At 39.6% G+C, this 21442-nt stretch overlaps 1 protein-coding gene across 2 annotated transcripts in view; it reads right to left on the bottom strand.

Annotated features, from left to right (window-relative positions):
* Positions 1-21442, bottom strand: part of IPO11 (importin 11) — a 215820-nt gene that overhangs the window by 94059 nt on the left and 100319 nt on the right. For both annotated transcript variants that reach the window (NM_016338.5, NM_001134779.2), the window contains exons 20-22: positions 19023-19136; positions 8267-8382; positions 3739-3815 (exon numbers count right to left, since the gene is read on the bottom strand). In NM_016338.5, the coding sequence (NP_057422.3) occupies positions 3739-3815; positions 8267-8382; positions 19023-19136 (307 nt within the window). The remainder of the gene's footprint in view (positions 1-3738; positions 3816-8266; positions 8383-19022; positions 19137-21442) is intronic.

The following is a 21442-nucleotide window of genomic DNA, read 5'->3' as shown; positions in this document are numbered from 1 at the left end:
GTGTGATTTTATTTTATAATCTACTATTTGCTTTTATTTATAATTTTGCTCCTATATTTAATTTGTATTTTACATATATATTCCTTTAAATTTCTGTAAGGAGGAAAGGGAGTGAATTATTAAATTATGTTATAGAGAATCTAGAGAAACCTGCTTCATCCTTTCCAAATTTGATAGAAAGTTACCAGCTGAAAAATTTTACAGTTAAAGGAACATTAGTGTTGCATTTGCAATAACTAGGACAAGAGCCAGTCACATGCTGATCTTTTAAGTAATGAGAATACTAAGTAAATTAACACCATAACATAGATTTAAAGAAAAAAAGCCATTAGAACTAAATTAATATAATAACGTCCAGTTACAGCCTCTGGTTCTGCTTAAAATTTATCAGATTCTATTTACACGTAGGGAAAAGGACATAAAATGAATCTTAGCCTTGAATATATTCATACTTAATTAACGCATCCTAAAAAACCATTAACTTAAACATCTTAAAGTGTTCTATAATGTTGGCTTTATATGTTTTAAAGTAAGAAACTTTCTGCCAGTGGCTTTCTTTTTTTTTTTTTTTAAAGAGAAAGCATCTTGTTCTGTTGCCCAAGCTGGAATGCAAGAGCAGAGTAACAGCTCACTGCAGCCACTGCAGCCTTGATCCCCTCACTTCAGCCTCCTGAGCAGCTACAATCACAAGCACGGGCCACCAAGGCCGGCTAACTTTTATTTCTTGTAGACATGGGGTCTTGCTATGTTGCCCAGGCTGGTCTCAAACTCCTGTCCTCAAGCAATCTACCTGATTACAGGCATGAGCCACTGCAACTAGCCCAGTGGCTTAATTTCTGCTTAGAAAAATATAATACCTATCATACTTAATAAACAGATAGCTTAAAAGCACTGTTCTAATAAGAGAATTTAACATACAAAAACAGTATTCATTTTGGTTTATACTCTTAAAAGATTAAATATTCTGGTTGTATTTAAAAATAAATTTTTAAACTTTCATGAAAGAATGTACGGCCAGGCATGGTGGCTCACGCCTGTAATCCCAGCACTTTGAGAGGCCAAAGTGGGTGGATCACCTGAGGTCGGGAGTTCAAGACCAGCCTGACCAACATGAAGAAACCTCATCTCTATTAAAAATACAAAAAATTAGCTGGGGCAGTGGTGCATACCTATAATCCCAGCTACTCGGGAGGCTGAGGCAGGAGAATCTCTTGAACCAGGGAGACGGAGGTTGCAGTGAGCCAAGATTGCACCATTGCACGCCAGCCTGGGCAACAAGAGTGAAACTCCATCTCAAAAAAAAAAAAAGAAGAAAGAAAGAAAGAATATACATGCAAAAAGCTGTATGTCAAACTCAAACAAAAATGAAGGTAATACTGAGGTCAAGATGTACAAATAAACATGAACAAATGTAATTTGTAAATAGAATTTCTTCATTATTGATGTAAATACACATACCACAATGCATAAAACAAATTATGTTTATCTTTTTTGTTTGAACAATAAAAGTAGAAAATAAATAATAGAATCCACATCACCTATATTCATTGAAACTTTATAAAATAGAACTTTTTAAATCTTTAAAAATTAAAAAAGTTTAAATTGAACATCCATTATCAAAAGGTTGAAATTTCATTAGTTCTTGATTCAGTAAAGTAACAAATCCTGAAGAGCCGGTCAATGGTAGGATAATTTTTAAATGGGAGTAATGTTAATAGTGACAGTAATAGTACTAAACATACTAGCAAAACATTAGATAATGCTTACTATGTGCCAGGCATTATTCCAAACACATAAAAGTCCTTATTGATTTGGTAAGAAATATGCATCAGCTACAAAGATTTCTATCATTAAAACTACACCACAGGCTGGGCATGGTGGCTCAAGCCTGTAATCCCAGCACATTAGGATGCCGAGGCAGGTGGATCACATTAGGCCAGGAGTTTGAGAGCAGCCTGGGCAACATGGTGAAACCCCATCACTACTAAAAATACAAAAATTAGCTGGGCATGGTGGCACATGCCTGTAGTCCCAGCTACTCGGGAGGCTGAGGCAGAAGAATTGCTTGAACCTGGGAGGCGGAGGTTGCACTGAGCTGAGATTGAGCCACTGCACTCCAGCCTGGGTGACAGAGCAAGACTCTGTCTCAAAACAAACAAACAAACAAACAAACGAACCACCACCAACAAAAAAAACCACTACACTAGAGCACTTACCTAAAGCTACACTAAAAATAGTGTCATACAGTTATAGTAAAGTAAGTCATATGCTTTGTATTTAAATCTCTTCTTCTTGGTTACCAATCCCTCTCCCATCACTCTTAGGGAACTGAACGTTGTGGAGACTAAGCATGCTGAATTTGAGGTGGAAAACAGGGTGAAATGAGACCAATATGTGAAATCACACATATGTGGAAGCAGCTGAATGTTGTTCACGACAAAGTTGGTAAAAGGGCTGGCTGAGGTGTCTAATCTTAGGTCAAATATAAAGAAGCCCTGTGGACTGCCTAAAGTAGCATGGTATGTAGTCTCCAAGTTAGGTAGAACAGAACTAAAAAGGCCTTCACCAAAGAACCCTATTCTCTTTTTCTAGTAGATCAACACCTATTGCCACTGACTTCATCTTTGGTAAGTTTTTCCTTTTATGGGGACTCTAGATAACAAAGAGCAAATGGCTCTTTATTGGAAAACAAATGGTTACCTTGATTGTTATTTGAAAAGAGTAACAAAAAATTTAGGAGAAAATGTGAAGAACTAATCACATTATCTAACCACCATGGTCATCCAACAAATAAGGCGAGAAAATGATTTTTTAATCAGTTACAATTGTTTTTAGTCCACATTTGCTGGTATTTACAAAGAGTGAGTCTATTTTTTCCAGTGTGTCATTCATTATACCTCAGGGACATTTTTTGCCTCTAATAATCCCAGCGCTTTGGGAGGCCAAGGCAGGCAGATCACGAGGTCAGGAGTTCGAGACCAGCCTGGCCAGCACGGTGAAACCCCGTCTCTACTAAAATATAAAAATTAGCTGTGTGTGGTGGTGCACACCTGTAATCCTAGCTACTCAGGAGGCTGAGGCAGGAGAACAGTTTGAACCTGGGAGGTTGCCACAAGCCAAGATCACACCACTACACTCCAGCCCACGCAACAAGAGTGAAACTCCATCTCCAAAAAAGAAAAAAATAGCCAGATGAGATGGTGTGTGCCTGTAGCTCTAGCTACTCAGGAAGCTAGAGGAGTTGCTTCAGTCCAGTAGTTTGAAGCTGCAGTAAGCTGTGGTCATACCACTGCACTCCAGTCTGGGCAACAGAGCAAGACCTTGTCTCAAAACAAAACAAAACAAACAACACCAACAGACTTATTTGTCAATATTAGGGATTAAATAAAAATGGAAGGTATGTATGTTCTCATTTATAAATGGAAGCTAAACATTGAGTACTCAAGGACATAATCATGGCAAAAATAGACACTGCAGACTACTAGAGGGCAGAGGGAGGAACTCAAAGGTTGAAAAACTATTAGGTACTATGTTCACTAACTGGATGACAGAATCAATTGTACCCCAAACCTCAACATCACGCAATATATCCATGTAACAAACGTGTACATATATCCCCTGAATCTAAACTAGAAGTTGAACTTACAACTTTGTTGTAATGCCTCCAAATTATGTTTCAATGCCTCCCAATTATGGTTGCATTCAAAAACATTAGTAAGTTTATGCTTTAACACATACCAAGAAGTGGTGACATATTCTGAAATATACGAAGCAACTCTGGTGTAATACATGGACTGTTTTCCAAAGTTACTAACCTAGGAAGGAAAAACAGATGATTAAACCACTTTCCATGCCCATTAAAGCCATTAACATATGACTTAAATATTTTAAAAGGTCTCATTTAAATGAAGAAAGGTAAGTGTATAATCAGTTAAGTTATAAAAATTATCTAAGAAAGAATTAACCAAATGCCTCAAAATAAAAACCTGTCTGCAAATTATGTAATATTTCTACATACATAGCAAAGGTAGTAAGGAAAGTAACTACAGTTGACCCTTGCACAACATGGCTTTACACTGAGTAGGTCCACTTAAACCCAGACTTTTTCAACCAAATCCAAGATTAAAAATACAGTATTCACAGGATGCAAAACCAAAGTACATGGAGGGCTGACTTTTCACATACACATATACACAGGTTCCGCAGGGCTGACTGCGGGACTTTAGTATGCATGAATTTTGGTATATGTGGTAGCCCTGGAACCAATCCCCTGTTGATAGAAAGACACAACTGTATATACTAAAGTATCCATAATAATGAAATTATAACAATAAACCAAAAGCATAACTATTACAGATTGGTCAAACAGGTAAAAAAGTTATTTTGTTGTTCTGATTTTCTTGATATGTTCCTCTGCCACATGTAATTGATGTGTTCTTCGATGGGAAACTAGGCTAATAAGTTAGTAAAACTTATGCTAAATGCTTAATAAATATGAACTTAGTACAACAAAGGCCATTATAAGCCAATCTGACCGCATTAGCAGTTATGAAACAATCCATAATATAATACGTATACATGGAAGGTTTAGTGCAACAAACGCAAATTACAAACTAATCTGACCACAATCCATGACATAATACACATCCACGGTGGGTTATCAGAGAAGTGTGTGATTGGTCTATCTGTTCACATCCCCCAACCCTCAAAACAAGGACTGTTTTGATTGTTGAAACAGCAGCAAGGAAAGGAGGGGAAAGCCTATTCAAAATCTAATACTGGCTATAAAAACTAAAAACTAAGGAATAACCTGATGATGCTATCAAAACTGTAAAGAACCCCTGGCCCCCAACACGGGTCTACTTCCAGTTCCTTTTCTTAATTGTTCAAACATACAAAGAATAGATTGTTATATATCACAAAAATCATTCCAGTGCAATGAAAACAATTTTTAAATTGTTAAACATAGCACTGATATAAAATCAAAAAGAATCACAAAATGTAGATCATAGATCCAAATCATTAATAGAAGAAAAAATAAAATTAGATAAAATGTTAGAAAAATGTTTATAATATGCATTAATAGTGGAATTCCCCACCAAGTAAAGTTTATCCTAGGAAATCAAGTTTCTTTTAAAAGAAAGGTTTTTTCTTAAGAGAAAGATATGATCTTTTGAGTAAACAGCAAAAAGCAATCAAATTTGTTTTTTTAAATGATCATATTACATTTAATAAGATATAGCTGATACTGCTGCCTGCTTACCAGTATTCATTACTACCTCATCCAATTTTCTTAGAAACAAAAAAACTATACAAAGTCTTTTGTTCAAATTCTGTTTAAAAATAATTTATTGTATTAAATGTTTATATTAAGATAGAAGAAAGGCTAAAAGTTGATGAGCTGATTTTCTTAGAATGGAGATCAGATGACAACAAGCCCATAAACCTAAAGCAAGTAGAATAAGATAATAAACATAAGAGCAGATATTAATAAATAGGAAACAGATATACAACAAAGAGAACCAAAGCCAAAGGTTGTTTTTGAAAAGCCTAGTAACTGACAAATCTCTAGTGAGATGGATCAAGAGGAAAATAAAAAGCCATAGTAGGAGATAAATCACATAATCAGTCTGAAAGTTTCACTCCATATTCGTGACCCCAAGCATCAACTGGTGTACTGGTTTTATCCCTAATAAATTCAAATTCCCATTCTCTAAGATATCTACTTTATACCTTCTCTCACCTACAGACCTCTCATATCTTGTGCACACTCCTAATCCAGCCCATTACTCCCCACTAAAGACGATGCTTCATATTTTGTTGAGAAAATACAAGCTATTGGATGGAACACCTCCCTATCTCATTCCACTACAAAATTTGGAAAACCACCTTCTGCCTCCAGTTAAAATGCATGAAGTATCCCAGCTGCTACCAAAATTCAACCCCCTCCACTTGAGCTCTGAATCCCACCCCTTTTTGCCTCCTTCATTTATCCCACTCTCTCAATCCAGCCTCACCCATTCCTCTAGATCTTCACATTTCCCACACTACCCAGTTGTTGCCCCATGTCTATGCTCCTCTTAATAGTAAAAGCTCTCAAACAAGTTATCAGTGTGCATAGTCTGTATGGACTTACCTTCAATTCATTCTTCAGTCTATTCCAATTCTAATTTCTGTTCTTACCACTCCGGTGAAAACCCTCCTATCATCTTCATGTGGCCAAATTCACATCTCTATACTAATCTTACTAGGAAAATCAGCAACATTTGACAAAGTTGACCACTTTCTCCTCTTTTAGGAAACATTCTCCTCTCTTGGCTTGGTTTTCCTACTATATAAGTAAACAGCTCTTCTCTGTCTTTGTAGATGGCTCCTCGTGTCCTCAAAATGTTACAAGTTCATTAGAATTCTGCCCTGGCCAGAATGTTCTCTGTCCTTCTCTTCTTAGGCAATCTTTAATTATCCTCAGGCATTGAATGCCATATCCAAAGTGCCAACCACTTCAGCAAACATTATCTCATATTCACAACAACCATGTAAGGGTAGGAATTATTCTTCATTTTAAAGACAAGAAAACTGTGGTTCACCAAAGATGATTAACTTCTTAAAATTACATATATAATGCAGTAGCATAACTGGGATTGGCACCTATGTTTGCCTGATTTCAAATATAAACTCTAACCCATCAAGAAAAATTCATGAAGAAGGATGTACTCTCTTTAAAGAAACTCAACTATTAACAAATTAGGTAATTAAAAAAATTTTCTCCTAATAATTTATTTTTATTAGCATGTAACTAAAAGCTAGGAAAAAACATTACCATTAACAAAGCCGTGCATTTTTATTATTACTTTTTAATGTAATCCCTTGAAAATATCTACACTTTTAATAACACATTAATATATTGTCAGTAATACTGATAATTCTGAGTCTAATCTCTTTAATATTGGATTTTTTCTAACATTCAACATCATATAGTATCTACATGTTTGCACAAAATTATTTATATGCCAGGAATTAATATTTTATCTTACAATCTAGGGCAGAGGATGGCAAACTACAGCTCATGGGCTAAATCCACCCACGTACTTATTTCTATAAATGATGTTTAATTGGCGCACAGCCATACCTACTTACATATTGTCTATGACTGTTTTGACACTGACAGCAGAGTCAAATAGTTGCAACAAAGACTGTGTGACTTAGAAAGCCCAAAATATTTAATATCTGGTCCTGTCTAGTACAAGTTTGCCAACCTCTGATCTAAAGTAATCCATCCTTATACAAATATAAGTGTTTGAATATAAAATATTTCAACAACAGGCTAATTTACAACCAAACCACATACATGCCATTTAAGTTCGAACAACACCTTTCTGAAGAACGCAAACCACAAATTAATAAGTATCTAACTAGTAAAGTTTTAAAGTCATTCATCTCATATTCTGATAAAGATCATTATTTATAATTTGCACCAAAGTAATTTCTAAGAACCAAAACTGTTAAATTCTAGACATCTAACAAAAACAGTTAGTTCCAAAGGGAGGGAGGGAGGGATGAAGAGAATCAAATGTTCATTTCTTTTACAGTTGATTTCTATGATTTGCTTTCTTTAACTGCACTATCAATTTACAAAATGGGATTTTGAAACTTTTCATGTATTATTGAAAGATTGTCTCTGGAGAAAACTGTTGCCAACAGTAAAGTGAGCTTAATAAAGCAAAAGGATTTTCTAGCACAGTTGCTTACACACCGTGGGCAGTCAATAAGCCTTTGTAGCACCGAGCTGCCACAGAAGCAGGGCATTTTTTTTAACCTCTTAATAACGCATACTACTAATTTACTCAGTAGAACAGTAAGTTAAGACTGTAAGTCGCATTAGCATTTGGAGCTAAGGTATAATATCTCAACACTTGGTTAAGTAGTAAGAGGACCTCAATATCCCCCAAACATCTCATTTAACAGACTGGAAATTGTAAGTCAGTAACTTTTTGGAAAAGTTACCATGACCCCATATTACATGACAAATTCCAAAAGATGAAATGCAGCTGAGTTCCTATTGAAATGTCCCCCTTTAACTTTGTCTACTATAATCCTACACTGATTGACAGCTGCCAAAAAAAGGAGATATATGCCCCAGTTTGAAGAAACAGAGTTTACATTTTCTGTTTTTAAAGCCCTATTACATGACCTTAACTTTACTGGCATGAGAGTAGGAAAGGTCACGAATAAAATAAGATCCATGGTATTAAGTTTTTCCTCTTACCATAATTCTAAACCATCTTCCAGAAGATAAACATGTGGAGGCTGTGAAACATCTGTACTCAGTTGAATAACTGGGAGCAGGAAAGGGTACAGGTTCTTGCTGTCTGCTCCTAATCCCTATGGGAAGTATAAATAAAACTTATAATAAGACACTCTAATGTCCCATCCCGCACCAAAAAATTACCTATCATACAAAAAGCCCTAAAACCAATTAAAAAAATGAATCATATTTTTAGGAAGGTCCTAATTACAAGTAATAGCAAAACAAAGTTCTGTTTATAATTGGAAAGGAAAAATTAAAAAATACTATTCAATTGCCTATTGGCAGTTTAAAAAATATATATGTCAAGGCTACATACATCTGTTCATTTTAATAGACTGCACATATAAGAAATATCTATTTTCCTCTCCCTGTCTCTACAGATGACATACTAACTTTGGTATTTTAAATTCTATAGATGCTTTCACCTAAATAATTAATCTAAAATGAACCCACCCTAAATGTTCATCAGTAAAGTAACCGAATTATGGAACAGATTCAAGAATATTGAAAAGCCATTAAAAAAGATTTTAGGGGCTGAATGCCATGGCTCATGCCTATCATCCCAACTCATTGGGAGGCCAAGGCGGGAGGACTGCTTGGGGCCAGGAGTTGGTGACCAGCCTGGGCAACATGGCAAGACTCTGTTCTTGAAAAACATTTAAAAGTTAGCCAAGCATGGTGGTGCCTGCTTAGAGTCCCAGCTACTCAGGAGACTGAGGCAGGAGGATCGCTGGAGCCCTAGAATTCAAGGCTGCAGTCAGTGAGCTATGATCCCACCACTGCACTCCAACCTACATGATAAAGCAAGAATCTGTCGACCTCCTCACCTCACACACACACACACACAAAAAAAAAAAAAGGATGGGAGGATTTGACACAGAATTTTAAATTTTCAAACAAATTCTTTTTAAAAGGTGCAGAAGTGTGTATAACAATTCCACATGTCAAAGAATTTTTTTAAATATCTAGATATCTGTATATGATATACACAAAAATGTTTCTGGAAGCAAACAGAAAAAACTGTTAATGCTTCTTAGATACAGGAAAGGAAAAAGGATGATGTTGGGATGAGGGCAAAGGTGTTTTTGTTATCTTTTCAACATATTTAAGAATTTTTGATAACATTTTTAATGAATCAAGAACACAAAGATGGAAGAAGAAGAGAAGTTTCGATCTAAAATTCTAGTTTGCTGAATTACTGTTAGGGAGGTTGATTCAATGTATTACACAGTAGGTATTTTGGAAGAAAACAAAACGGGTAAAAAGTCAATCTGTAAAACATAATAATATCTATAATTTCATGAACACAAAAAGGAAACCAAATAAATTACAAAATACCTCCTCACCTAAGAAGTAATTCAAATGTCAATATAATTCAAAGCAAATTACAATGCCACACAGTATATATGTATTCCCCTTTTGATGACACATACTACTAAGTTCAATTGTTGGGATTTTATCTGCAATTCTCCAGTGTACAATACATTATTTTTTAACTACAGTCACTGCACTGTATATTAAATCTCCAGAACTTATGTTAAATATAATTTTGTCCCTTTTAATAATGAAAAACCACTTGGAAGGCTTTATTAAGGAGTTTTCCAAAGGAAGAGAATTATGAAAATGCCATTATTTAACAGAGTAGTACATATTGGGCCTTAAAACTCACTTCAATTTCACTCTCCATAGCTCAATCTTTCATGAAACAAAAAAGAAAGAATATTAAGAAAAAAACAGTCAAGTTCATTTTGATTATCAGTAGACTTAAAATTTCCTTGGAAAATTTATCTACTTACTTAAATGTGTATTCAAAATATGCTAGCATTAGCAAAACTAACGTAAGCAATCGCTAAACACACTGCTTTCAAAGATTGTATAGAGAAATCCCACGTATCCTTCACCCAATTTCTCCTTACATCTTATGTAATTATAGTAGAATACTAATTCTACTATACTATATAACACACTGTCTTAATCAATGCTTGAAGAGATTCAATACCTTATAATTCTAGTGGCTAAAGAATGTGTCCAATCCCTGATATGCAGCTTTAAGTAAATGTAAGCACCCTTTGGGCCCACAGTAACTACAAGACATTGCCTACAATACTCTGAAAGTTCAAAAATGAATTCATCGGTTATTAAAATAAGAAAACTACCAGGAATAATTAAAGAGGGGAGAATTAATATTCTACTATAATTACATAACATGTAAGGAGAAATTGGGTGAAGGACACATGGGATTTCTCTATACAATCTTTCAAACGTCCTGTGAATCTATAATTTTTTCCACAGAAGAAAAGTTTAAAAAAAAATAGCATCCTCCAAATACCATTCTCAGGGTAGTATCCTTGGCTGTCTTCTCATGTCCCATGAACACACTGATGATATACAAATCTATCATATCTACAACAACTCTCTGAATTCCAAACAATCAACTAACTACAGCACATTATCAGCCAGAAGGTTATCTCAACTTCTAATACTGAACCAACTCATTGTCTTCCTAAAACACAGTTCTTCTTCCTGTATTTCCTAACTCAAGTGACATGAATCACTATCTACCTAGCGATAAATTATATCATGGCTACCTCCTGGTTCTTCTTCAAAGAAGAAGAAATATCTCCTAAATATTTTTCAAATCTTTCCCCTTCTCTCCATAATTCAGGTTCTCATCATCTTTTTTCTGATTAACAGTCTCCTAGTCTATTTGACCTTAGTTTTACCCACTTCCAAACTAGTGTCCTCAGTGGTGCACTGACTACTTTTCTAAAATAAAAATCGTAACGTTTCTTCCTCTGACCTTCAAGAGATGTTCGCTTAGCCTTCCTGACCAGTTCCCCCTATACAAGCTCTGTACTCTATGTTCCTGCTATACCAAATAATGCACAGTGTTAGAAATCACTATGTTAACATCTGGAGAAAGCTAACAGAGGAACAGTTTCAATACATGCATTTACTACTGTTCTTTCCCAAAGCCAACTAAAAGGATACAGGAGGATTTAAAAAAAAAGAACTAAAAACAGAAATACAAAGACAGAATAAGAAGAGATAAAAGTAATTCACTTTGGAAGCTGGGAAGAAAGACAAGTGCTAACTGATTTAGCCAACTAAGAAACCAAAACTAAAATCCAGCAGGGGAGCAGGAAAAGACAAACTACCTGATTTACACTACAGAAAAAAGACTGAGGAACTAATGGCACCAGGTATTTTGAGAGGTGTGTGTGTGTGCACAACTGTGTGCGCATATGCATGCCTGCATTTAGGGGACAGAGGATTGGAGGACAGTGAAAAGGAAGTATTAATAATAAGAGGACTTCTAGAAAATGTTTAGAAAGCAGTTTGATGCCAAGATCTCATCCAGATACATAAGGAGACAAATAACTGGCCCTCCTCTGAACCAGAATAAAACCAGCTATTTATTTTCTGCTAAGACAAAACAGATGGTTTCAAGACAGGGAGATACCAGGTAATCAAGAACAGGGATATGACATAAAACAGGAAGATTACATCAGCATGTAACAGGTAGGAGACTGAGGGGTCCTTCACTGAGGAAAGACCTTAAAAAATTAACCCGAAAACATTCTCCTACAAAACCCAACCAGACCATCCTAAAAGAAAAACACACAATTATGGCCGGGAGCAGTGGCTCATGCCTGTAATCCCAGCACTTTGGGAGGTCAAGGCGGGCAGATCAGCTGAGGTCAGGAGTTTGAGACTAGCCCGGCCAACATGATGAAACACTGTCTCCACTAAATATACAAAAATTAGCCAGGCATGTTGGTGCATGCCTGTAGTCCCAGCTACTGGGGAGGCTGAGGCAGGAGGATCACTTGAACTCTGGAGGTGGAGGTTGCAGTGAGCCAAGATCGTACCACTGCACTCCAGCCTGGGCAACAGAGTGAGATCCTGTCTCAAAAAAAAAAAAAACCCACCACAATCAGCAAGCCTCCCCACCACACCACACACACAATCCCTCCACTCAGCTTTTTAGTGTCCGCTCCTAAATTTATACAGACAAAATGCTGATCTTGAAGTTGGGTGATGCTTCAGGATTCATCACACTCTTCTTCCTTTTTTGTGTATGCTTTAAATTTTTCATAATAGAACGTAAATAAGTAAATAAGAGAAGGCAACCGAGGATCAACAGATATGATTAAAATGTTTGCTATGAAAAACAGAAAACAAAACAACTAACTAAATAGAAAACAGCACCCTAAAAGAAACAGAGACCAGGCAGAGATGAAAGCTTGGAAAAATATATCATTAATATCTTTGGTAATTAAAACACTGCATTAAAGAAAACACTGCATTCATAAAACAAAAACAAAATGTTGTACAAAAGAATTATTCAGGAAAACACAAAAGAACCCATAGGCATTAAAACATGTCACCAGAAAAGAAAAACTCAATAAAAAGGCTGAAAGATAAAACTGAGAAAATTCCCTAGAAAGTAGAACAGAAGGAGAAAGAGGAAAAAAAAAAGCAGGAAGGAAACAAAGAAAATCAGACGACTGGTTCAGAATATCTATCATGTAAGTAACAAAAACTTCAGAAAGTAAGAAAAGAAAAATACGAAGAGGAAGAAATAAAATACAATGGAGTCATCTAGCATTCAAGAACATGAGTTTCCAGCCTGAAATGTCCACCAAGTGTCCAGAACAGTGAGATGAAAAGGCACTCCCATCATGAAACTGAAAACAGGAACACAGAGATGATCACACAAGTTGCCAGAAAAGGGAAGGAGGGGTAATACATTCAAGAATCAAGAATTAGAATGGCTCCAGGGTCCCCAGAGCAATTTTGGAAGTCTTAAGACAAAGAAAAAAAAAGTCTCCAAAATTTTGAGGGGGAAACCTAGACTTTTATACCAGCCAAACTACTAATCAATTTGAAACTAGAATGAAGACATTTTCGCACATGCAATATCTCAAAACAAAAAATTTACCTCCTATGTATTTTTGCAAAATGCTACTGCCATTCATGGCTGCCATCAGAAAAAGAATGTAAAACAAGAAAAGATATGACATGATGCGCAGAAAACAGACATCCCACAGAAAGGATAGGCAGTGAAAGAAAATCCAGTTACAACAGCTGTGCAAAAGCCTAAGTAAAACCAGTCCAAACTAGAGCACATAAGAATCTGTCATATCTCCCATCTCACACCAGTTAGAATGGAGATCATTAAAAAGTCAAGAAGTAACAGGTGCTGGAGAGGATGTGGAGAAATAGGAACACTTTCACACTGTTGGTGGGACTGTAAACTAGTTCAACCATTGTGGAAGACAGTGTGGCAATTCCTCAAGGATCTAGAACTAGAAATACCATTTGGCCCAGCCATCCCATTACTGGGTATACACCCAAAGGATTATAAATCATGCTGCTATAAAGACACATGCACATGTATGTTTATTGTGGCTCTATTCACAGTAGCAAAGACTTGGAACCAACCCAAATGTCCATCAATGATAGACTGGATTAAGAAAACATGGCACATATACACTATGTAATACTACGCAGCCATCCTTTGTAGGGACATGGATGAAGCTGGAAACCATCATTCTGAACAAACTATCGCAAGGACAGAAAACCAAACACAGCACGTTCTCACTCACAGGTGGGAACTGAACAATGAGAACACTTGGACACAGGGTGGGGAACATCACACACCAGGACCTGTCATGGGGTCAGGGGAGTGGGGAGGGATAACATTAGGAGATATACCTAATGTAAATGACGAGTTAATGGGTGCAGCACACCAACATGGCACACGTATACATATGTAACAAACCTGCACGTTGTGCACATGTATCCTAGAACTTAAAGTGTTAAAAAAAAAAAAATCTGTCGTATCTCTTCAAGATGATGAAAGTAACAAAACATCACTGAGGAAATGTGTAGATAACAAGTGAAAAGAATAGGTTCAACTGCATAGACAACTAAGTGTACTAAGCAGAAATCTAAGATGATCACTTAGGTTCTTGGACACTACTGTACACACACCATTCCCTAGTTATTCAACCACTAATCTAGGTACTACTGCGAAGAAATAATTTACAGATGTAATTAAAGTCCCACATCAACTGACCTTAGATAGGAAGATTATCCAGGTGGGCCTGACCTACTCACAAGAGCCCTTTAAAAGAGAGTATTTTCTAGCTAGTGGCATAAGGGGAGGTCACAGATTAAAACCCTCGGGGGATCTGACATTTGAGAATTTCCCCACTGCTGACTTTGAACATGAAAGGGGCTATGTGTCAAAGAATGTGGCTGGACTTGGGAACAAGAGGGGACCCTAGATGACAGCTAGCAAGTAAACTGGGACCTTAGTCCTACAAATCAATGAACTAAACTCTGCCAACAAGCTGAATGAGTACGGAAACAGATTCTTCCCCAAAGCCTCCAGCGAAGAATTTATTCTGGCAGTCACCTCAATTTCAGTCCATTAAACTCTGATCAGAGAATTCAGACATGGCATGCCCAGGTTTCTGACTTACAGAACTATGAGCTAATAAATGCATATTGTTTTAAGCCACCAAGTTTATGGTACTTTCTCAGTATACTAGGCAAATAAAATTATTAATACAAGGGTGGAGGTTGGAAACACTATGTATAAGAAATAAAATTAATCATGACATAATGATATAGGCCTTCAACCGTCTTTATACAATCAAGTATACTGGGAGGATAGTGGAATAGGAAGGACACAGGGGTATAAAAGAATTACATTTTCATCTTCTATGCAGGGAAGTCAAGAAGTAATGCCTACAATGCTTAAATCAGTAATAAACAATATGTTAGAGTGAGAAAGACTGAGAAACCTATGATATGGCTGTAAGAGTTGACAGTGGATTCTTCCACCAAAAAGGAAATGAGGAGGAGGAGCAGGGTACTGATACTTTTCATTTGAAAAATCTTTAAGAACTAACTCCTTTATCTGTCAACATTAAAACTGATCAATATATAAACCTTAAAAAAAAATAAAATGTACTGCATTCTCTAATGCTTAGGTAGTTTTACACATGTCAGTTCATATGCCTAAAACACCTTTACCACTCTCATTGCTAAACCACCATCTAAATAACACTTCTTGTTTTATTTAACAACACTATTTAACAACACCAAAATTTGAGTAACACCTCTGTCAGGAGGCCTTCCCTAATGTGCCCCGCCTCACCCTCCATGTGACACAGGGAATTGGCCATGTACCCCCAATAGCAATATGTTCTTAATTGCTAAAAGGGCAATTAACACACTTATTCAGTATTTCCCTAGACAGTCACCTACACAAAGATCCCATTCTATTCATTTGTATTCTGTAGCCCAGTGCCTATTACCCTGTATTGCACATTGCAGGTTCTCAATAAATGTTTAGCGTATGAACGAATACCTACTTCCTCTAAGTTCAACTATGCAGACTAGAAAGTTTATTTTCACCCAGTGACCACCCTCTTCAAAGACTACCAGAATCTGGATTTCCAGGATTAAAAAAACAAACAAAAACATACAGAAACTTACACCAATGTCTGTTACGTGTCAAAAGCCAAAAGATAGCAGTATTTTGCAAGAAAGGAAATTTACCAGTAAATTTTTTTTATTATTTTTGAGACAGGGTCTCACTCTGTCACCCAGGCTAGAGTGCAGGGGTGTGATCTTGGCTCACTGCAACCTCTGCCTCCCGGGTTCAAGCAATTCTCACACCTCACCCTCCCAAATAGCTGGGATTACAAGTGTGCGCCACCACACCCAATTAATTTTTGGGCTTTTTTTTTTTTGAGACAGAGTCTCGCTATGTCACCCAGGCTGGAGTACAGTGGCGCGATCTCAGCTCACTACAGCCTCCGCCTCTCAGGTTCAAGCGATTCTCCTGCCTCAGCCTCCTGAGTAGCTGGTACTACAGGCATGTGCCACCTCACCTGGCTAAGTTTTGTATTTTTAGTAGAGATGGGGTTTCACCATGTTGGCCAGGATGGTCTCAATCTCCTGACCTCGTGATTCACCCGCCTCGGCCTCCCAAAGTGCTAGGATTACAGGCGTGAGTCACTGCGCCTGGCCAAATTTTTTTTTTTTTTTTTTTTAGTAGGCACGGGGTTTCACCATGTTGGCCAGGCTGGTCTCGAACTCCTGACCTCAACTGATCATCCACTTCAGCCTCCCAAAATGCCGGGATTACAGGTGTGAGCCACAGTGCCTGGCCAACCAATAAACTTTAGTATAATCTTCCCAAACGGCTGAAAAATATATTTTAAGCTACAGTCTCAATTTTGGTATTATGTTATATGCTTTCTCCAAGAAAGGTAGAATACTACTTGTTTGAACCTTGCACTCTTGGCCGGTACAAATACACAGGGTACTTAAATGTCATGATTAAAGAAAAAAGGCCTAACATTCCACAAGAGTTACTCTGACCTCCTGAGACTACTTGAAGTAACACTGCCTGAGGAGACTTGAAAGTTGGTGTTTAGTTACATGTCTCTCACAAAACTCCCAAGTTGAGCTTAAAAGTACATCTTGGAGGCCGGGAGCAGTGGCTCACGCCTGTAATCCCAGCACTTTGGGAGGCCAAGGCAAGCAAATCACCTGAGGTCGGCAGTTCAAGACCAGCCTGACCAACATGGAGAAACCCCATCTCTACTAAAAATACAAAAATTAGCCAGGCATGGTGGAGCATGCCTGTAATCCCAGCTACTCTGGAGGATGAGGCAGGAGAATTGCTTGAACCTGGGAGGTGGAGGTTGCAGTGAGCCAAGATCGCACCATTGCACGCCAGCCTGGGCAACAAGAGCGAAACTCCGTCTCAAAAAACGAAAACAAAAAACATTTGGCAGAGATGCTGTTATAATACAAAATATCTCGGGTCGTTCATTGTTCTATTACTTATAAATGCATTCACAAGATAGTAACCTTCTCTTAGTCTTTATCCTCTTCTATAAAACGGACATAATCTTTATAAGGTAATCATAAGCATTAAAAGGTAGACAGGAAGAGATTCTGGGCCACTTATTTTTTTTTCTTTTTTTTGAGACGGAGTCTTGCTCTGTCGCCCAGGCTAGAGTGCAGTGGCGCGATCTCGGCTTACTGCAAGTTCTGCCTCCTGGGTTCATGCCATTCTCCTGCCTCAGCCTCCTGAGCAGCTGGGACTACAGGCACCCGCCACCACGCCTGGCTAATTTTTTGTATTTTTAGTAGAGACAGGGTTTCACCGTGTTAGCCAGGATGGTCTTGATCTCCTGACCTTGTGATCCACCCGCCTCGGCCTCCCAAAGTGCTGGGATTACAGGCTTGAGCCACCACGCCCAGCCTCACTTTTTTTTTTTTTAAGTGCTTTAGTGATGGAGCTGTGGAGTTTTTGTTTAATGATATAGCTTCAGTTTTACAAGATAAAAAGAGTTACAGAGATGGATGGTAGTGACAGTTGAACATTATGAATGTATTTAATATATTCATACACTACACTGTACACTTAAAATTGGTTAAAACGGTAAATTTTGTTATGTGTATTTTACCACAGTAAAAAAAAGAAAGCAGGGAAATGTACATTAAAAATATTTTGCATTACTATTTATCTGAAATTGCCTTAAACAGGAATCTGTAACTAAAAGTCATCCATAACCATTTACGGAGGGGCTGGGCATGGTGGCTCATGCCTGTAATCCTAGCACTTTGGGAGCCTGAGGTGGGCGGATCACTTGAGGTCAGGAGTTTGAGACCAGCCTGGCCAACATGGTGAAACACCATCTCTACTAAAAATACAAAAATTAGCCAGGCACAGTGGCGTGTGCCTGTAATCCCAGCTACTTGGGAGGCTGAGACAGGAGACTTGCTTGAACCCAGGAGACGGAGGTTGCAGTGAGCCAAGATCGCGCCACTGTGCTCCAGCCTGTGCAACAGAGCGAGACTCCGTCTCAAAAAGGAAAAAAAAAAAGAAAGCATTTATGGAAAGAATGAGCTCATGTTCAAAAAAGTATCAAAGCTTCTGAGAAAAGTTTCTGGTTTTTTCTAAACTAATTTTAGAAAGCTTTAGAGCAGTACTTCTGAATTTAGGGATACTTCTGATTTCTTCCCCACTGGAAAATTTCTCAAACTTGTGGGTGAAGTCAGTAAAATCACTTGAGCATCTCCACACATATATTCTAACTCACGGCCTTGAGCTCTTCCCTAACCATACTCTCACCAGACTATGATTCACTGTAACAGTTCAAATAAGAACTATAGTCCAGCTCTAAGTTTCAGGTTCCTCTCTACCTGCTACCACATCCCAACACCTCAAACGTCAAAATGTCTGAGATCCAATTCACTTGTCTCCCCTCAAAAGCAACTCACCTGGTTTCCTGCCTTACCAAGTTATAATAGGGAATTTTTTTATTTTAAATCAAGGAAAAAGAGTGAAAACATTAAGTATGTTTAAGCAGAAAAGCCCCGACCACCAAGGAAACTGCATGCATGGTGCCATGGACTGCATGAACCATGAGTCTATCATCACTGGAGACAACATTTAAAAGTGAATAATATTTTTTACATCCTCAAAAAAATGTCCAAAATAAGCATGCAAAAGTTGTTTTTAAATCGGTTTAGATCACACATGGAAAAAAAAATAAAAGATATGTGAAGTTTTTCACTACCATTAACATAAATCACATAAAAACAATTTTTAAATGGTTAAAAGAATTTTTTAAAAACCACTAAACTAAAAAAACTCTGTGGAGAAGTGACTTACCTGAACAAGATGAATAAGTGTTGTCAAAATAGCACATCTCAACATATTGTGTTCTTCACTCTGCTTCCAAAGGAGGGGCAAATATTGTACCAAACATCCCACATATGGTCGTATCTATTACAATATAAGTAGAGGAAACAACAAAATTTTATTGGTAAAGAAGGCAATTTACTTTGAAAAACAATGAGAGCACTATTAAGTCCCAGACAGCACATATTTAATATTTATTAGATGTAATGTATTAAGCTTATACCCTTAAGAAATAAAATTAGACATTACATAAAAGCCCAGGGCTCTATAGTAAATATTTTTAAATAATTTTAAACAAATATCAAGTGTACTGAATGAAATAAAATTTATGAATATAAAAAAACACTTTAGAGGTTAACAGAAAATGCTGTTATAACCTGCTTCTTTTTTAACAAAACAGCTTACCAAATTGGAAATTATACTATTATTTTTTAAAAAGTCAGCATCTATTCATTCATTCTACAAATATCTTCCAAGTTTCAGGCCCTGAACACAAGGCACTGGACAGAAAAGGATACACAGACAGCCAGACAAACCCTTACAATGAAAAAGGGGAAGTGCAATGATGAAGGTGTATACAAGGTATGGTGGAAACACAAGAGAAAAAAAACATTTTCAAAGGATAAAATTGCTAAGCTCACTATGGATTAAGTTAATCAGATTTTACATTTTACCCTGGAGCACAGCTCAGTCTGACAGTAGTTTCTTGAAAAATAAAATGGATCTACAATGATGCTGGACAGCGTTTCAGCTCCAGTATTTGAGATTGCTATAAGCTGAGTATTACAGTATTTGAAATTGCTCTAAGAATATCCTTGGGGATGTCCTCCCGTCTCCCTCTCCCTCTCCCTCTCCCTCTCCCTCTCCCGTCTCCCTCTCCCTCTCCTTTCCACGGTCTCCCTCTCATGCCGGGCCAAAGCTGGACTGTACTGCTGCCATCTCGGCTCTCTGCAGCCTCCCTGCCTGATTCTCCTGCCTCAGCCTGCCAAGTGCCTGCGATTGCAGGCGTGCGCCGCCACGCCTGACTGGTTTTCGTGTTTTTTTGGTGGGGACGGGGTTTCGCTGTGTTGGCCAGACTGGTCTCCAGCTCCTAGCCGCGAGTGTTCCGCCAGCCTCGGCCTCCCGAGGTGCCAGGATTGCAGACGGAGTCTCATTCACTCAGTGCTCAATGGTGCCCAGGCTGGAGTGCAGTGGCATGATCTCGGCTCGCTATGGCCTCCACCTCCCAGCCGCCTGCCTTGGCCCCCCAAAGTGCAGAGATTGCAGCCCCTGCCCGGCCGCCACCCCGTCTGGGAAGTGAGGAGCGTCTCTGCCTGGCTGCCCATCGTCTGGGATGTGAGGAGCCCCTCTGCCTGGCTGCCCAGTCTGGAAAGTGAGGAGCGTCTCTGCCCGGCCGCCATCCCACCTGGGAAGTGAGGAGCGCCTCGTCCCGGCCCCCATCCCATCTAGGAAGTGAGGAGCGTCTCTGCCCGGCAGCCCATCGTCTGAGATGTGGGGAGCGCCTCTGCCCCGCCGCCCCGTCTGGGATGTGAGGAGCGCCTCGGCCCGGCCGCGACCCCGTCTGGGAGGTGAGGAGCGTCTCTGCCCGGCCGCCCCGTCTGAGAAGTGAGGAGACCCTCCTCCTGGCAACCGCCCCGTCTGAGAAGTGAGGAGCCCCTCCGCCTGGCTGCCACCCCGTCTGGGAAGTGAGGAGCGTCTCCGCCTGGCAGCCACCCCGTCCGGGAGGGAGGTGGGGGTCAGCCCCCCACCCGGCCAGCCGCCCCGTCCGGGGGTGGGGGGCTCAGCCCCCCGCCCGGCCAACCGCCCTGTCCGGGAGGTGAGGGGCGCCTCTGCCCGGCCGCCCCTACTGGGAAGTGAGGAGTCCCTCTGCCCAGCCAGGAGCCCGTCTGCCCAGCCAGCCGCCCCGTCCGGGAGGGAGGTGGGGGGCTCAGCCCCCCGCCCGGCCAGCCGCCCCGTCCGGGAGGTGAGGGGCGCCTCTGCCCGGCCGCCCCTACTGGGAAGTGAGGAGCCCCTCTGCCCAGCCAGCCGCTCCGTCCGGGAGGGAGGTGGGGGGGGGGTCAGCGCCCCCTCCCGGCCAGCCGCCCCGTCCGGGAGGGAGGTGGGGGGCTCAGCCCCCCGCCCAGCCAGCCGCCCCGTCTGGGAGGGAGGTGGGGGGGTCAGCCCCACGCCCAGCCAGCCGCCCCGTCCGGGAGGGAGGTGGGGGGGTCAGCCCCCCGCCCGGCCACCCGCCCCGTCTGGGAGGGAGATGGGGGGGTCAGCGCCCCGCCTGGCCAGCCACCCGGTCCGGGAGCTGAGGGGCGCCTCTGCCCGGCCGCCCCTACTGGGAAGTGAGGAGCCCCTCTGCCCGGCCACCACCCCGTCTGGGAGGTGTACCCAACAGCTCATTGAGA

This window comes from Homo sapiens, chromosome 5, assembly GCF_000001405.40.
Source record: "Homo sapiens chromosome 5, GRCh38.p14 Primary Assembly".
Classification (NCBI taxonomy): domain Eukaryota; kingdom Metazoa; phylum Chordata; class Mammalia; order Primates; family Hominidae; genus Homo; species Homo sapiens.
Note: the sequence above shows the minus strand (reverse complement) of the source record. Positions and strands in the feature narration are given on the sequence as shown.